Source organism: Homo sapiens, chromosome 14 (genome assembly GCF_000001405.40).
Source record: "Homo sapiens chromosome 14, GRCh38.p14 Primary Assembly".
In the NCBI taxonomy this organism is placed as follows: Eukaryota; Metazoa; Chordata; class Mammalia; order Primates; family Hominidae; genus Homo; species Homo sapiens.
Genome location: NC_000014.9, coordinates 73,056,476 through 73,071,366, shown reverse-complemented (window position 1 = coordinate 73,071,366; position 14,891 = coordinate 73,056,476). Strand labels below are relative to the sequence as shown.

The 14,891-nt window shown below is 43.8% G+C and overlaps 1 protein-coding gene, 1 long non-coding RNA gene and 1 pseudogene across 7 annotated transcripts in view, besides 6 other annotated features; 2 read left to right on the top strand and 1 right to left on the bottom strand.

Annotated features, from left to right (window-relative positions):
* RBM25 (RNA binding motif protein 25) overlaps positions 1 to 12,833 on the bottom strand; it is a 65,366-nt gene extending 52,533 nt beyond the window's left edge. For 2 of the 3 annotated variants that reach the window (NM_021239.3, XM_047431641.1), the window contains exon 1: positions 12,662 to 12,833. The gene's annotated coding sequence lies outside the window, so the exon portion shown is untranslated. Of the gene's footprint in view, positions 1 to 6,273; positions 6,396 to 12,661 lie in introns of all 3 variants that reach the window. The other variant, XM_011537044.4, reaches the window with a different exon arrangement.
* Positions 2,627 to 3,264, top strand: LOC100422493 (required for meiotic nuclear division 1 homolog (S. cerevisiae) pseudogene; annotated as a pseudogene).
* Positions 5,418 to 5,918: an enhancer, noted in NCBI's record as "H3K4me1 hESC enhancer chr14:73532157-73532657 (GRCh37/hg19 assembly coordinates)". NCBI's record gives its function as "activates a minimal SCP1, AML or CMV promoter by ChIP-STARR-seq in primed H9 embryonic stem cells {active_cell/tissue: H9 hESC(primed)}" and the evidence as "EXISTENCE:reporter gene assay evidence [ECO:0000049][PMID:30033119]".
* Positions 5,919 to 6,419: an enhancer, noted in NCBI's record as "H3K4me1 hESC enhancer chr14:73531656-73532156 (GRCh37/hg19 assembly coordinates)". NCBI's record gives its function as "activates a minimal SCP1, AML or CMV promoter by ChIP-STARR-seq in naive H9 embryonic stem cells {active_cell/tissue: H9 hESC(naive)}" and the evidence as "EXISTENCE:reporter gene assay evidence [ECO:0000049][PMID:30033119]".
* Positions 11,914 to 14,537, top strand: RBM25-AS1 (RBM25 antisense RNA 1). 4 transcript variants are annotated; one of them, NR_184256.1, is made up of 2 exons: positions 11,914 to 12,091; positions 12,610 to 14,537. It is a non-coding gene; the product is annotated as an RBM25 antisense RNA 1 (long non-coding RNA). The 4 variants fall into 4 exon arrangements; NR_184255.1 differs by having other exon boundaries at positions 12,583 to 14,537; NR_184257.1 differs by lacking the exon at positions 11,914 to 12,091 and adding an exon at positions 12,132 to 12,281.
* Positions 12,321 to 13,520: an enhancer, noted in NCBI's record as "MED14-independent group 3 enhancer chr14:73524555-73525754 (GRCh37/hg19 assembly coordinates)". NCBI's record gives its function as "activates an origin of replication core promoter dependent on BRD2, BRD4, P300/CBP and CDK7 cofactors, and independent of MED14, by STARR-seq in HCT116 cells {active_cell/tissue: HCT116}" and the evidence as "EXISTENCE:reporter gene assay evidence [ECO:0000049][PMID:35650434]".
* Positions 12,321 to 13,556: a biological region, named in NCBI's record as "MED14-independent group 3 enhancer GRCh37_chr14:73524555-73525754".
* Positions 12,592 to 13,556: an enhancer, noted in NCBI's record as "NANOG-H3K27ac-H3K4me1 hESC enhancer chr14:73524519-73525483 (GRCh37/hg19 assembly coordinates)". NCBI's record gives its function as "activates a minimal SCP1, AML or CMV promoter by ChIP-STARR-seq in naive H9 embryonic stem cells {active_cell/tissue: H9 hESC(naive)}" and the evidence as "EXISTENCE:reporter gene assay evidence [ECO:0000049][PMID:30033119]".
* Positions 12,729 to 13,268: an enhancer, noted in NCBI's record as "active region_8693". NCBI's record gives its function as "activates an Ori minimal core promoter by ATAC-STARR-seq in GM12878 lymphoblastoid cells {active_cell/tissue: GM12878}" and the evidence as "EXISTENCE:reporter gene assay evidence [ECO:0000049][PMID:35858748]".
* Positions 14,538 to 14,891: the final 354 nt, after the last annotated feature.

Below are 14,891 nucleotides of genomic sequence, written 5' to 3'. Positions count from 1 at the left end.
TTGAGGTTCAGTTAATATCCAAAAATTAAATACCACACATAAACGAATCTTTTTAGACCAAACTGAGAATTCAGATGGGTATCTAATAGTTTTTAAGTGTTCTGATTTTTTTTTTTTTTTTTTTTTGAGACAGAGTCTCACTCTGTGGACAGGCTAGAGTGCAGTGGCGCAATCTCTGCTCATTGCAACCTCCGCCTCCCGGGTTCAAGCGATTCTCCTGCCTGAGCCTCCCAAGTAGCTGGGACTACAGGAGCGTACCACCACGCCCAGCTAATTTTTGTATTTTCAGTAGAGACGGGGTTTCACCATGTTGGCCAGGATGGTCTCCATCTCTTGACCTCAAGTGATCCACCCTCCTCGGCCTCCCAAAGTGCTGGGATTACAGGCGTGAGCCACCATGCCTGGCCTTTTTTTTTTTTTTGAGATGGAGTCTCGCTCTATCGCCAGGCTGGAGTGCAGTGGTGCAATCTTGGCTTACTGCAATCTCCACCTCCTGGGTTCAAGCAATTCTCCTGCCTCAGCTTCCTGAGTAGCTGGGATTACATGTGCGCGCCACCACGCCCAGCTAATTTTTATCTTTTTAGTAGAGACGGGGTTTCACCATGTTGGCCAAGATGGTCTCGGTCTCCTGATCTCACGATCTGCCTGACTCAGCTTCCCAAAGCGCTAGGATTACAGGCCTGAGCCACCGCGCCCGGCCCATTTTTCTTATATCTATCAGAATCCTAAAAACTAAAGGTACCAAGTTACACAGTATTTGTTGCTTCAATGCTGGCCACTACCTAAGAGACAAATGTGCTCATGAACCATACATCTCAGCAGGGGGAAATAAACTCCTGACTTCCAGTCAGATAGTAACCATTCAAATATAAAGAGAACATACAACTTTTGACAAGAGAAAAAAAAGTCATAGTTTTTTTTTTTAAACTTAAAAGTAAACTTTGTAACCATTCTTGAATCAAAACTGAAGAATCAGAAGCTAGCATTTGATTTTTTAAAGTTTAAGAACAGGTTGGTTGCAGTGGCTCACGCCTGTAATCCCAACACTTTGGGAGGTCAAAGCGGGTGGAAAACCTGAGGTCAGGAGTTCGAGACCAGCCTCACCAACATGGCGAAACCCCGTCCCCACTAAAACAAACAAACAAAAAAAAATTAGCAGGGTATGGTGGTGTGCGCCTGTAATCCCAGCTACTCGGGAGGCTGAGGCAGGAGAATCACTTGTAATCCACTGCACTCCAGCGTGGGTGACAGGGGAAGACTCTGTCTCGGGGTGGGAAGAAAAAGAAAAAGAAAAAAAAGAACACATTTAACTGTTTCACTTAGTTTGTCATGTTAAAGAAAACTTTGTCATTTTATTAAGTATTGCCATTTAATGTTAATATTTAAACATTAGCATTTTTAGTATTAAAAACAATTTCCAAATTAGCCAAGCATGATAGTGCATACCTATGGTCCCAACTACTTGGGAGGCTGATGCAGGAGGATGGCTTGAGGCTGAGAGACAGAGAAAGACCCTGTCTCAAAAAAAAAAAAAAAAGAAAGAAAAAAATTTTTTTTTCACCTCAAACTTTATTTTCAGCAACACACTTTTTTTTTTTTTTTTTTTTTTTTTTTTTTTTTAAGAAACAGGGTCGGCCAGGCACGGTGGCTCATGCCTGTAATCCCAACACTTTTGGGAGGCCGAGGCGGACACATGACCTGAGGTTGGGAGTTCAGGACCAGTCTAGCTAACATGGAGAAACCCCATCTCCACTAAAAATACAAAATTAGCTGGGCATGGTGGTGCATGCCTGTAATCCCAGCTACATGGGAGGCTTAGGCAGGAGAATCGCTTGAACCAGGGAGGTGGAGATTGTAGTGTGCCATTGCACTCCAGCCTGGACAACAAGAGCAAAATTCCATCTCAAAAAACAAACAAAAATATTTGTCTCTACTATTTTGTCTTTCATGTTTTACAGAAACATAAAAAGAGAAAACATAAAAAGTTTAAGTCTTCCACTTCCTTGCCCCCAATCCCAACAGTTTGGTATCTACTGCTGTGCTCTTCTTAATATCATTCTATGAACTAATAATTTTTATTTTTCTACAACCAATCACATCATGTGAATTTCTCCCTCGTTATAATTGCCATCTCTTCATGTCAGTTCACAAAAGTTTTATTCCAAGCCGGGATGGTGGCTCACGTCTGCAATCCCAACACTTTGGGAGGCCAAAGCAGGGGGCTCACGTGAGGTCAAGAGTTCTAGACCAGCCTGGCCAACATGGTGAAACCCCATCTCTACTAAAAATACATAAATCAGCCAAGTGTGGTAGCACATGTCTGTAATCCCAGCTACTCGGGAGGCTGAGGCAAGAGAATCACTTGAACCCAGGGTGCGGAGTTTGCACTGAGCTGAGATCGTGCCACTACACTCCAGCCTGGGTGACAGAGTCTGTCTAAAAAAATAAAAAATAAAAATAAAGTCTTATTCCACCTTTATAATGCAGTAAATTGGCTGGGCGTGGTGGCTCACGCTCATAATCCCAGCACTTTGGGAGGCCGAGGTGGGTGGATCACAAGGTCAAGAGATTGAGACCATCCTGGCCAGCATGGTGAAACCCCATCTCTACTAAAAATACAAAAATTAGGAGAGGGGGTGGCTGCAGTAATGAGAGGCTGGTGCTGCAGCTCTTTTCCTGCAGTCCAGCCAAGGAAGCGTGCGTCCCTGGCGCTTCCTTCTCTTTGGACAGAGAGCTTGGGATGTGGTAATGCCAGCCAGACTTCTCAGAGCCATGGTCAGATCTACCGTACACTGGCAAAAGCACATCAGTGCCAAAGAATTGGTCATCTAATGTTAAAACCACTAAAGGAATTTGAAAATACAACATGCGGCACACTGACAATACGTCAAAACTTGGATTTGTTCCTTCCTGATAATACAGCTGGTAGTCTGAATAAGTCTCAGATCCTGTAAATGAACCAAAAAAAAAAAAAAAAAATCAAATACAAGCATTGTCTCTCCATTAAATGCTGCTCACTGCCAAGACGAAAAGGCACACCTTCCAACCATGAAATCCTTTGGTACTCACAAGAGAGTGACCCACAAACCAAATCTATTGGGGTCTAAATGGTTTATAAAAATATTAAAGAGGCATTTCTCATCTGTATCAATGGAAACATTTGTTCCAAAACAAGGCTTTCCACATATCAAGAGACCACTAAAGCATCCAGGACCAAGCAGCCATCTAGGACCAACCTTCCAGTTCTGTCTGTGAACGAGGTAAAGTTGGGGTGGTCGTAGCTCATGTGCTTAGTGATCACTGCTCACGCTAAACCAGTGTGCGCTGCACCCCAGCCTTACCGCCAACTTAAGAAACTGGCAGTCAACTCAGACTGCTCCATCAAGATCTTTGAAGCCTAATAAATATCCAAAGAGATTCAAAATCTTAATTTTTAAGAATTAATGATACATATAAAAACAAAATACAGGCCGGGCGCGGTGGCTCACACCTGTAATCCCAGCACTTTGGGAGGCCGAAGCGGGTGGATCACGAGGTCAGGACATCGAGACCACGGTGAAACCCCGTCTCTACTAAAAATACAAAAAAAAAAAAAATTAGCTGGGTGCGGTGGCAGGCGCCTGTAGTCCCAGCTACTAGGGAGGCTGAGGCAGGAGAATGGCGTGAACCTGGGAGGCGGAGCTTGCAGTGAGCCAAGATCGCGCCACTGCACTCCAGCCTGGGCAACAGAGCGAGACTCTGTTTCAAAAAAAAAAAAAAAAATACAGGCAATAAAACATGAAAAAAATACAAAAATTATCCAGGCGTGGTGGCACATGCCTGTAGTCCCAGCTCTTGGGAGGCTAAGGCAGGAGAATTGCTTGAACCCGGGAGGTGGAGGCTGCAGTGACCCGAGATCAAGCCACTGCACTCCAGCCTGGTGACAGAGCAAGACTGCCTCAAAAATAATAAAATAATAATAATGCAGTAAATTATTATAATACGGACATATTTATTTAACCAACATTAACAGTTGGCTCCACTTTCAGCTCTCACAAATAATGTTGAACATTCCTGGAGATAATAGACATATAACTGTATGCATCTGTACAGGTAATTCTCTAATACAGGTTAGAACTATATGTATCTGATTAGCTGGGTGTGATGGCAGGTGCCTGTAGTCCCAGCTACTCAGGAGGCTGAGGCAGGAGAATCGCTTGAACCTGGGAGGCGGAGGTTGCAGTGAGCCGAGACGGTGCCATTGCACGTCAGCCTGGGCGACAGAGCAAGAATCCACATCAAAAAAAAAAAAAAAAAAAATTATATGTATCCAAACTTTACCTCCAAAATCATCCCTGAAAACTAGCATATAAATGTATATTCCCACCACCAGAATATGGGTATGCCCTTTCCTCATATCCTCATCATTGGTAGAATAGATCAGTGTCAAAATTCTCACAATTTCATAAGTAAAATATACTCTTATTTCAATTTACATTTCCCTCATGACTAATGAGGTTGAGTATGCGTTTACCTGTTTACTAGACATTTCTTTAAAACAGAAAAGCATGACCTACATGCTCACAGCTCTACTTCCTCAGAATTCCTTTGACTTAAATTGGGATAATACCATATTCAATAAAACTAAACTTCAATTTCAGAAAACACAGTATACTTAAAATATTTAGAAAACTTTATAGGTAAAGGAATCCCTAGGATGCATTTTTTTTTTTTTTTTTTTGAGATGGAGTCTTGCTCTGTCACCCAGGAGTGCAGAGGCACCATCTCAGCTCACTGAAACCTCCGCCTGTCGGGTTCAAGCGATTCTCCTGCCTCAGCCTCCCAAGTAGCTAGGATTACAGGTGCACACCACAAGGCACGCACGACCAAGCTCAGCTAATTTTTGTATTTTTAGTAGAGACGGGGTTTCACCATGTATGGCCAGGCTGGTCTCAAACTCCTGGCCTCAAGTGATCCGTCGGCCTCGGCCTCCCAAAGTGCTGGGATTACAGGTATAAGCCACTGCGCCCAGCCCTTAGGAGGATTTAATATACTTGGCAAATGAGGTATTAGAAATGTTTTAAACAGTAGGTAGGTTATCAGTACATATTAACAATGAAAAACACAAGATTGCAAGACTGTAAATGTGTTGAGTTTTAAAATAAACTTTCTGTAAAACTTTTTGACCAAAACCAAAAACTGGGGGTGGTATCTCTTTTTAAAACAGAAAGGGCTACTGTCCTACTTACAGAAGCTCTTCTATTATCATTATAATAGCCTATCTCAGTGCTTTCTTAGGATAGTTGGTTTTCATACCTGTTGAATAAACTGATTAATGAATAAATCAGTAAACAAACTCTGAGGACTTCAATAAACAAATTTATTATGCTATCTCATGCCGCATACTATATTCTAGCAATGGCCCAGTGCCTAGCCTCACAATGGTTACAAGACTGGGCCATGAACTCATTTTTAAAACCACTTTTCCCCCAATAATATTAGATATAAATAATGCTTAAAAACTAAAACTCTCGGTCAGGGGCGGTGGCTCACACCTGTAATCCCAGCACTTTGGGAGGCCAAGGCGGGCAGATCACTGGAGGTCAGGAGTTCGAGACCAGCCTGGCCAAAATGGTGAAACCCCTGTCTCCACTAAAAATATAAACACTGGGCTGGGTGAGGTGGCTCATGCCTGTAATCCCAGCACTTTGGGAGGCCAAGGCAGGCAGATCACAAGGTCAGGAGATCAAGACCATCCTGGCCAACACGGCGAAACCCCGTATCTAATACAAAAAGTTATCCAGGCATGGTAGTGTGCGCCTGTAGTCCCAGCTACTCAGGAGGCTGAGGCAGGGGAATTGCTTGAACCTGGGTGGCAGGGGTTGCAGTGAGCCAAGACTGCGCCACTGCACTCCACCTTGGCGACAGAGCAAGACTCAGTTTCAAAAAAAAAAAAAATTAGCTGGGCACAGTGGCTCACCCCTGTAATCCCAGCACTTTGGGAGGCCGAGGCAGACCGATCACTTGAGGTCAGGAGTTGGAGACCAGCCCGGCCAACATGGTGAAACCCCGTCTCTACTAAAATACAAAAACTAGCTGGGTGTGGTGGCGGGTGCCTGTAATCCCAGCTACTCAAGAGGCAAAGGCAGGAGATCACTTGAACTCGGGAGGCCGAGGTTGCAGTGAGCCGAGATCGCGCCACTGCACTCTAGCCTGGGTGACACAGTGAGACTCTGTCTCAAAAGAAAACAAACAAACAAACAAACAAAATTAGCCAGGTGTGGTGGTGCGCACCTGTAATCCCAGCTACTCTGGAAGGTGAGGCAGGAGAATTGCTTGAACCTGGGAGGCAGATGTTGCAGTGAGCCGAGGTCGCGCCACTGCACTCCAACCTGAACGACAGAGTAAGACTCCGTCTAAAAAAAAAAAAAAAGTAAAACTCTATATTCTTGGTATTTAAGTTATATTTTATGGTTTTTAAATGTGTAATTCATTCTGCAGAGTTAACCAGATATATTTAATTTTCGTTTATGCCAATATACCCATTCCATTCACTTCAAATTTTTCCATAACATATTCCCCTTTATTTGGAGCTGCCAAAACTTGCTTGTTGATAGGCTGGACTTCAAAGGTGAAGGCAAAAATACCAGTTAACAGCTAATTTTTATGGATATTCCTTTAAGATAACTGGCCTCTCCTGGGCGCGGTGGCTCACATCTGTAATCCCAGCACTTTGGGAGGCTGAGGCGGGCGGATCACAAGGTCAGGAGTTCGAGGCCAGACTGGCCAACATGGTGAAAGCCCGTCTCTATTAAAAATACAAAAATTAGCCAGGAATGGTGGTAGGCGCCCGTAGTCCCAGCTACTCGGGAGACTGAGGCAGGAGAATTGCTTAAACCTGGGAGGCAGAGGTTGCAGTGAGCTGGGACCGCGCCACTGCACTCCAACCTGGGTGACAGAGCGAGACTCCATTTCAAAACAAAAATAAAAAAGATTGGTCTCTCATGGAAAATCAGAAAACATTTCTCATCTTTGATAAATACTAATGTCCACTTTAAGCAGCCTAAAAGATTACCAACTACTTATTTCAACACAGGTTTATGTGTTTTGCCATGTGAAACTGATTGAGAATTAACTTTCATAATCATAAGCAAAGCTTATCTGTTACCTATAGATGATAAACAAAATAAATTATAATACATTGAAAGATGGTATGTACTTTGTAGAAAAATAAATTAGGGAAGAGAGCTATGGAGTAGTTTATTTTAAATACAGCGATTAGGCCTCACCAAGAAGGTGAAGATTAGAACAAAGATTTAAAAGAGGCAGAGGCAGGAAGCCCTATTCATATCTGGGGGAAAGAGACTTCCAAGCAAAGGAAAAGACAAATACAAAGAGGCTGAAGCAGGAATGGTGTATTTGAGGGAGGAATAGCAAGGCCAACAGTATGACTGGAGCAGAATAAATGAAGAAAATCAGAAATAAATACTGAGTATTATGAGTAGAGTGTAGGGCTATGTAACACAATGTAAATAAACATTTTAGTTTTAACTCTGAATGAGGTGAAAATCATTTGAAGAGTTTCTGACTTGTCACATTTTAACAGTATCACTGGCCACTGTGTTAAGCCTGGAAGGGAACAGGATACAAGCAAGAGACTGGTACAATAATCCATATAAGAGATGGTAGCCTGGAGAGATGGTGGCCTGGAACAGGTGGTAGTGGTGAAAGTGCTATCAAGTTGTTGGATCCTGGATATATTTTGAAGGCAGCCAATAGGATTTGCTGAGGGATTGTATAATATGTGGGATTTAAAAGAGAGAAATGCAGAGTTATCTTATGGCACTGAAATCATTTCCATAGCATTTTTTAAAATATTGAAAGTACCTCACATTTTAGAAGGTTCAAAGCACCTTTTCCTGCTAAGTATGAAACTCCGGGCCGGGCGCGGTGGCTCAAGCCTGTAATCCCAGCACTTTGGGAGGCCGAGGTGGGTGGATCACGAAGTCAGGAGATCGAGACCATCCTGGCTAACACAGTGAAATCTCGTCTCTACTAAAAATACAAAAATTTAGCCGGGCATAGTGGCAGGCGCCTGTAGTCCCAGCTACTCGGGAGGCTGAGGCAGGAGAATGGCGTGAACCCGGGAGGCGGAGCTTGCAGTGAGCAGAGATTGTGCCACTGCACTCCAGCCTGGGCGACAGAGCCAGACTCCATCTCAAAAAAAAGAAACTCTATAGCCCACGATAATAAAAACAGGAACCTGGGCCAGGTGCAGTGGCTCATACCTGTAATCCCGGCGTTTTGGGAGGCCAAGGCATGCAGATCACTTGAGCTCAGGAGTTCAAGACCAGCCTGGGCGACATGGTGAAACCCCATCTCTACCAAAAATACAAAAAATTAGCCAGGTGTGGTAGCATGCACCTGTGGTCCCAGATACTCAGGAGGCTGAGATGGGAGAATCGCTTGAGCCCGGGAGGTGGAGGTTGCAATGAGCCGAGCTCACACCACTGCACTCAAGCCTGGGCGACAGAGTGAGGCCCCCCAAAAATTAAATAAAATAACAGAAACCTATGATAGAAGGGTTCCCTACCTCTAGTGTAGCGGTGGTCACACAAGTATATGCATTTGTCTAAACTCATTGAAATTAAAACAGATGCATTTTATTGTATGCAAATTTTATCTCAAGAAATCTGGTCCAAAAAGAAACCCTGAAGACATATCTCTAGTACTCAACATATGCATGCACTCAGCTTTTCTTTTTTCACTTTTTTCTCTTTGAATCTTTCAAACTATTTTTTTCTGCACTCTTAAGAATACTGCAAGTATGCAAAATACAGCAAAACACTGCTAATAAGCATTCCTCTATTGTAGACTTATCCAGATAGAAACAAAATTATTTCTCCCAGGATAGATTATTTTAGACTAGCTCCATCAGTACACTACGTGCCAAATTTCTGAAATGATAATGAACTGAGATTCCTCTGAGCAAATATTCACATACAACTCACTCATTCATTCAATATCTACTTCCAATTATGTGTCAGGTCTGCAGGAATTATTCCTAGAAAAAAAAAAGTGTTTTATGCCCAAAGAAGAATGGGAAATGCTTAACAGAAAAACTACTTTTACAGCAAAGCTTTTCAGAAGTATGAAAATACTCAATTGTTTGGAAATCTCCAAAAAAGAGTTGATCTTTTTCTGACATTGCCACTTTTGTTGTTTTACCATTTTCAATGATTAAAGAGCAACACTCCTGTGCCTGCCTATAGTCACAGCTACGCAGGAGGATCACTTGAGCCCTGGAGTTCTGGGCTGCAGCACGCTACTGATCAGGTGTTCATGCTAAGTCCATTCAGCATTAATATGGTGACCTCCTGGGATGAGAGAGAACCACCAGGTTGCCAACAGAGAAGGGCAAAACTCCCAAACTGATCAATAGTGGGATTACGCCTGTGAATAGCCACTGCACTCCAGCCTGAGCAACACAGGAAGAATTCATCTTTTTAAAAACAAAAACAAGGCTGGGCACAGTGGCTCATACCTGTAATCCCAGCACTTTGGGAGGACGAGGCAGGTGGATCCTTTGAGCCTGAGTTCCAGACCCGCCTGGGCAACATGGTGAAACCCCATCTCTACCAAAAATACAAAAAAATAGCCAGGCATGGTGGCGTGCACCTGTGGTCCCAGCTACTTGGGAGGCTGGGGTGGGAGGATTGCTTAAGCCTGAAATGCGGAAGTTGCAGTGAGCCAAGATCGCAGCACTGCCCTCCACCTGGGTGAAAGAGACCCCATCTCAAAAACCAAATAAAACAAAAAAGCAGCGCTATCTACTACTATCTATACAGAAAAATGAGGGCTTGCCTGAAACTGGGGTGGAACAGGGTGACTTGCAAACAGACAGAAGGAATCCTTTTGGGGTAATGGATGCATAACTTTGTATATTTACCAAAAATCATTGAATTGTGCACTTACAGGTGAATTTTCTATGTCAATATAGTTCATATAGCTGCCATTTTAAAAAAGGCATATTGGCCAAGTGCGGTGGCTCACGCAATCCCAACACTTTGGGAGGCCAAGGCGGGTGGATCACCTGAGGTCAGAAGTTCCAAGACCAGCCTGGACAACATGGTCAAACCCCGTCTCTACTAAAAATACAAAAATTAGCCAGGCATGGTGGCAGGCACCTATAATTCCAGCTTCTATGGAGGATGAGGCAAGAGAATTGCTTGAACCCGGGAGGCGGAGGTTACAGTGAGGTGAGATCGCGCCACTACACTCCAGCCTGGGTGACAGAGCGAGACTCCATCTCCAAAAAGGAAAAAAAAAAAAAAGTACACCAACTCAGAAAAATCGGCAAAATCTATTTAAGAACTGTAGATTAGGTATTTTATCAGTGTTAGTTTCCTGATTTTGATTGTCGTACTGTTGTTAGGTAAGACTAGTCCTAATTTTTAGAAAATACACTTAAGTATTTATGGGTTAAGGGGCATCACATCTGCAACTTACTAGCAAAACATTTCAGAAGAAACCTATGAAGAGAAGGATAAAGCAAATTGGCAAAATGTTAACATTTGAGGAATCTGGTGAAAGATAGCTGAGATTTCTTTTGTACTATTCTTGCAACTTTTTTTGTAAATCTGAAATTATGTCTAAATAAAAAGTTAAAAGCCAATACCAATAATTCTGGGTAGTGGAATTTTGTTCTTCTAGTTTCAGCAACTTTCAATTTTCAAAAAAAGGTAGAAAAGCTATTTAAGAAGAATCAAAAATCCCCTTTTGTGAATGGCAGTGATAGTGTTTGAAAAGTCAATCAAGAGATCTCTAAAATACAGACTGTTTTAGCAAGATGTTAAGATTGATAAATGATTCCTTTGCTTCCAAAGCTATAAAATAATGTAAATTTTCACTAAATCATGTGTAAATAAGAAAAGTAAACTGCTAATTTGTCTGTGGACAAAAACATAACTTGAAAATTCCAAATTCCTGTTAGGTCTGAAGTAGTTACCCAATGTTAACATGGACTAGTTTTACTTTAAAAATACATTCAGAAGGCCGGGCACGGTGGCTCACGCCTGTAATCCCAGCGCTTTGGGGCCTAGGCGGGCGGATCACGAGGTCAGGAAATCGAGACCATTCTGGCCAACATAGTGAAACCTCGCCTCTATTAAAACTACAAAAATTAGCCGGGCGTGGTGGCGCGCGCCTGTAGTCCCAGCTACTCAGGAGGCTGAGGCAGGCGAATCGCTTGAACCTGGGAGGCGGAGGTTGCAGTGGCCAAGATCGCGCCACCGCACTCCAGCCTGGGCAACACAGCAAGACTCCGTCTTAAAAAAAACAACAACACAAAACAAAAAAAAAAATTACAGAGTCAGGGTTGGACTCTTACATTTCATTGAAAATCCTTAAATAACAAATTATGTCAATATAGATTTAAATGCTTATGTGTGTTACCTGGATACTGCACGAAGGATTTTACATACGTTTTTCTCAATCCCCAACCCCAATAACGTATAGATACTACTATAAATTCATTTTACAGAGGAACAAAAACCAAAGCTTAAAAGAAAAAAGAAAAAGAAAAACCAAGGCTTTAAGTTAAATGAATTAGAATACTATAAGATTCACTTGAATCATGAGTAACTTATGACCAACTTAATCCCTTTCAAGTCCTCTGAATGTTTTTGGAAATAGCCTTTAAAAAAATTAAAAGCTCCAAAGACTATACAAAAATTATTTATACATTACTGCCCACGGCCTAATACACAGAGTACTTCACACTAATACAGCAGTAGGGTGCAACAGAGGTCCAATCTCTTCCCTTCTCTTGGCTCCACTCTGCCCAGTATCAAAATGGCATTTCCATGGCAATACAAATCCATATTACATAACCTCCGAAAAATCTTCATAGTCCTACGTCTATTCCGGAAAACCGTATTTAAAAGCAGGATTGACGACCAAAGAAAAATGAGAAAGTAACATTTTAATGTGGAGCTTAGTAATCGCCTAGAATGAATGGCGATATACAGTTTACTGCACCCTCCAATGCGCAAAAGAGGCAGGATGGCAAAATTCATGACTATCTTAAGCAAGCCAGGAGACTGCTAAAAAGGTAGGTATTAGCTCAATTCCAAGGGGGTGGGGCCCAGTTCACTTGGTGGCGGGCTCTAGATGGCCAAAGAGGAAGGGAAAGATATCCGTTGGTGGCCAGCACCTCGCTAAAAAGGGTGGGTAGAGGCTAACTTCAAGGCAACGGCTGGGGCGAGAGTGTCCCAGGCCCGAAAACCTACTGTGGGGCTCCGGTAAGTAAGGGGGCTCAGGGAAGGGCTCCCCTGGGGCAGATCGATCGTTTTGTATCTAACGTGGAGCCCAGGGGGGGCAGAGACGATTCACTCCGCGGCGGAACGTGGAAGGGAAAGGGAAAGTGGGCGACAATGCAAGACGGAAAGCTCAAGCCGTAGGTCTGGCCTCCACCAGCTACGGCTGGGCCCACAGCTTTTCCAGGCCTTAGAGAAGAGAAGAAACCAAGCCTCGTGCCGACCCCTCCCCCACCCCCGCCTCCGCGCTCCCCCTTACCTCTACCCCACCCTGGCGCTTTCGCAGCCACCCCGGCTTTTCCTCCTCCACCAGCTGAGGCACCCGGTCTCCCGGTTTCCACACGCGTTCAGAGACACAAACTCACCCGCCGCTGAGGAAACGGTACTGCCTTCGCGACCTTCTGGGATCCAGGTTACGAGTGCGCTCCACTGGTTCGAGATTTCTGCCCGTCGCTCGCCAGGGAGACTGAGTGCCCAAGCGCCTACTCGCACAGGCCGCAAATACAGCCGCGCTGCGCGGCGAGCTGATGGAGGTCTTCCTCTTGCCCGGCGTGCACTGCGGCCGGGGGCGGGGAGCGCGGAACCATAGAGAAGAACGTATATAGATCGTCTCCGCTGTTGGCTCTGACTCACCAAGCCGAGACGAATAACCATAGAGAAGCAGCGTCTAGCGGTTACTAGAAAGGCCCGAACTGTAAATTATGACCCACCATGTTTGATTGGAGCCGACTGAATCTTACGACTACGGGACGCCATCTTGAGGTCAAGGTTCCGGCTGGGCACGGCGCGAGGAGTGTTAGAGGCTTTCTCACTTTTCGTAGTTTTTCGGGGGGTGGAACCTTGCTTTGTGATTCCTTGAGGTTCGAGGAACTGATAACTGGGCGCGATCTGCAACCTTAGTGTTAAACCCCAAGTGCTGTTATAACAACTACTCGAGATCAACAAATAATTGGCAAAGGCTGTGGAGGTTTTTTGAAAAGCAAAAGCTTATGCGTAGTTGTAGGGCCAAAGAGGTGGCTAGAAGATGTTTGGAAAAACGTGAAAAGTCCTGTAATACTAGTTAACACAGCTTTCGTTCTGTAATCTAAACGTGCTAAAAGAACTTAGCTTAAGTTAATGGAAATGAATAAAATTAATCATAAATGATTACGTTATTCCAATTGTGGACCTTATAGGCAATATCTAGTTACACGCCTTTCTCAACTGCTTGCCTCTAGGAAGGCATAAAACGGATTCAGTATAAAGTTATTGCCTCCCTGAGTTCCTGGTGCTGTGTTAAGTGCTGGAAGTATGAAGGCAAATGGAAGTGAGATTTGTTCCTGTCCTGCAAGAACTGTGAGCCAGGTGAAATAGATGACAAACCATGACCAGCCTAATATAAAATTGAAACATACTACACACTTCCTGCCTGCCTCCCCTACTTAATTTTACTCTAAAGCACTCATAACCATCTATCATAACATACATTTTTCTTGCTGATTTTATGGTCCGTCACTACCCCCACTAGAATGTGAATGTAAGCAATGCATGGATTGCCTGTTTTGTGCAAGAACAGGTCCTGGTACATAGCAAGCGCTCAATAAATATTTGTTGAGTGACAGAAATGATTACCGGCCGGGCGCGGTGGCTCACGCCTGTAACCCCAGCACTTTGGGAGGCCGAGGCGGGTGGATCACCTGAGGTTAGGAGTTCGAGGCCACCCTGGCCAACATGGCAAAACCCCGTCTCTACTGAAAATACAAAAATAAACTAGGCGTGGTGGCAGGCGCCTGTAATCCCAGCTACTCGGGAGGCTGAGGCAGGAGAATCGCTTGAACCCTGGAGGCGGAGGTTGCAGTGAGCCGAGATGGCACCACTGCACTCCAGCCTGGGCAACAAAGTGAGACATTGTCTCAAAAAAAAAGAAAAGAAAAGAAAAGAAATGATTAACATATGATGAGTACCAATAGAACACAAAATTTAGTGGGAGCACAAATGAGAAAGTAGCACTAATTACTACCATCTGCAAAATTTACATCCTTCTATACTTCTGCTTGCTAGGTTTCCTTACCATTAACTAAAGTTAATAATACCTTTGGCCGTGCGTGATGACGAGTGCTTGTAGTCCCAGTTACTTGGGAGACGAAATTAACTTATGTATGTTTGTACTTTGTTCAGTAAAGTGCTATTCAAATTTATAGTTTTTATAGTGCTACTCTATAATGCTATTTATTGTTTGTAAATAAAATGAGTTTCTTTTTTTGTTTTGTTTTGTTTTTGTTTTTTGAGGAGGTGTCTCTGTTTCCCAGGCTAGAGTGCAGTGACGTGATCTTGGCTCACTGCAATCTCTGCCTCCCAGTTCAAGCGATTCTTGTGCCTCAGCCTCCCCAGTAGCTGGGATTATAGGCGTGGGTCACCATACCTGGCTAACTTTTGTATTTTTAGTAGAGATGGGGTTTCACCATGTTGGCCAGGTTGATCTCCAACTCCTGACCTCAGGTAATCCGCCCACCTGGACCTCCCAAAGTGCTGGGATCAAAGCTGTGAGCCACCATGGCCGCCCAAGAGTTTGTGCCTATTTACAACAAAAGGCATAAACAGAAATCTCAGATTAAT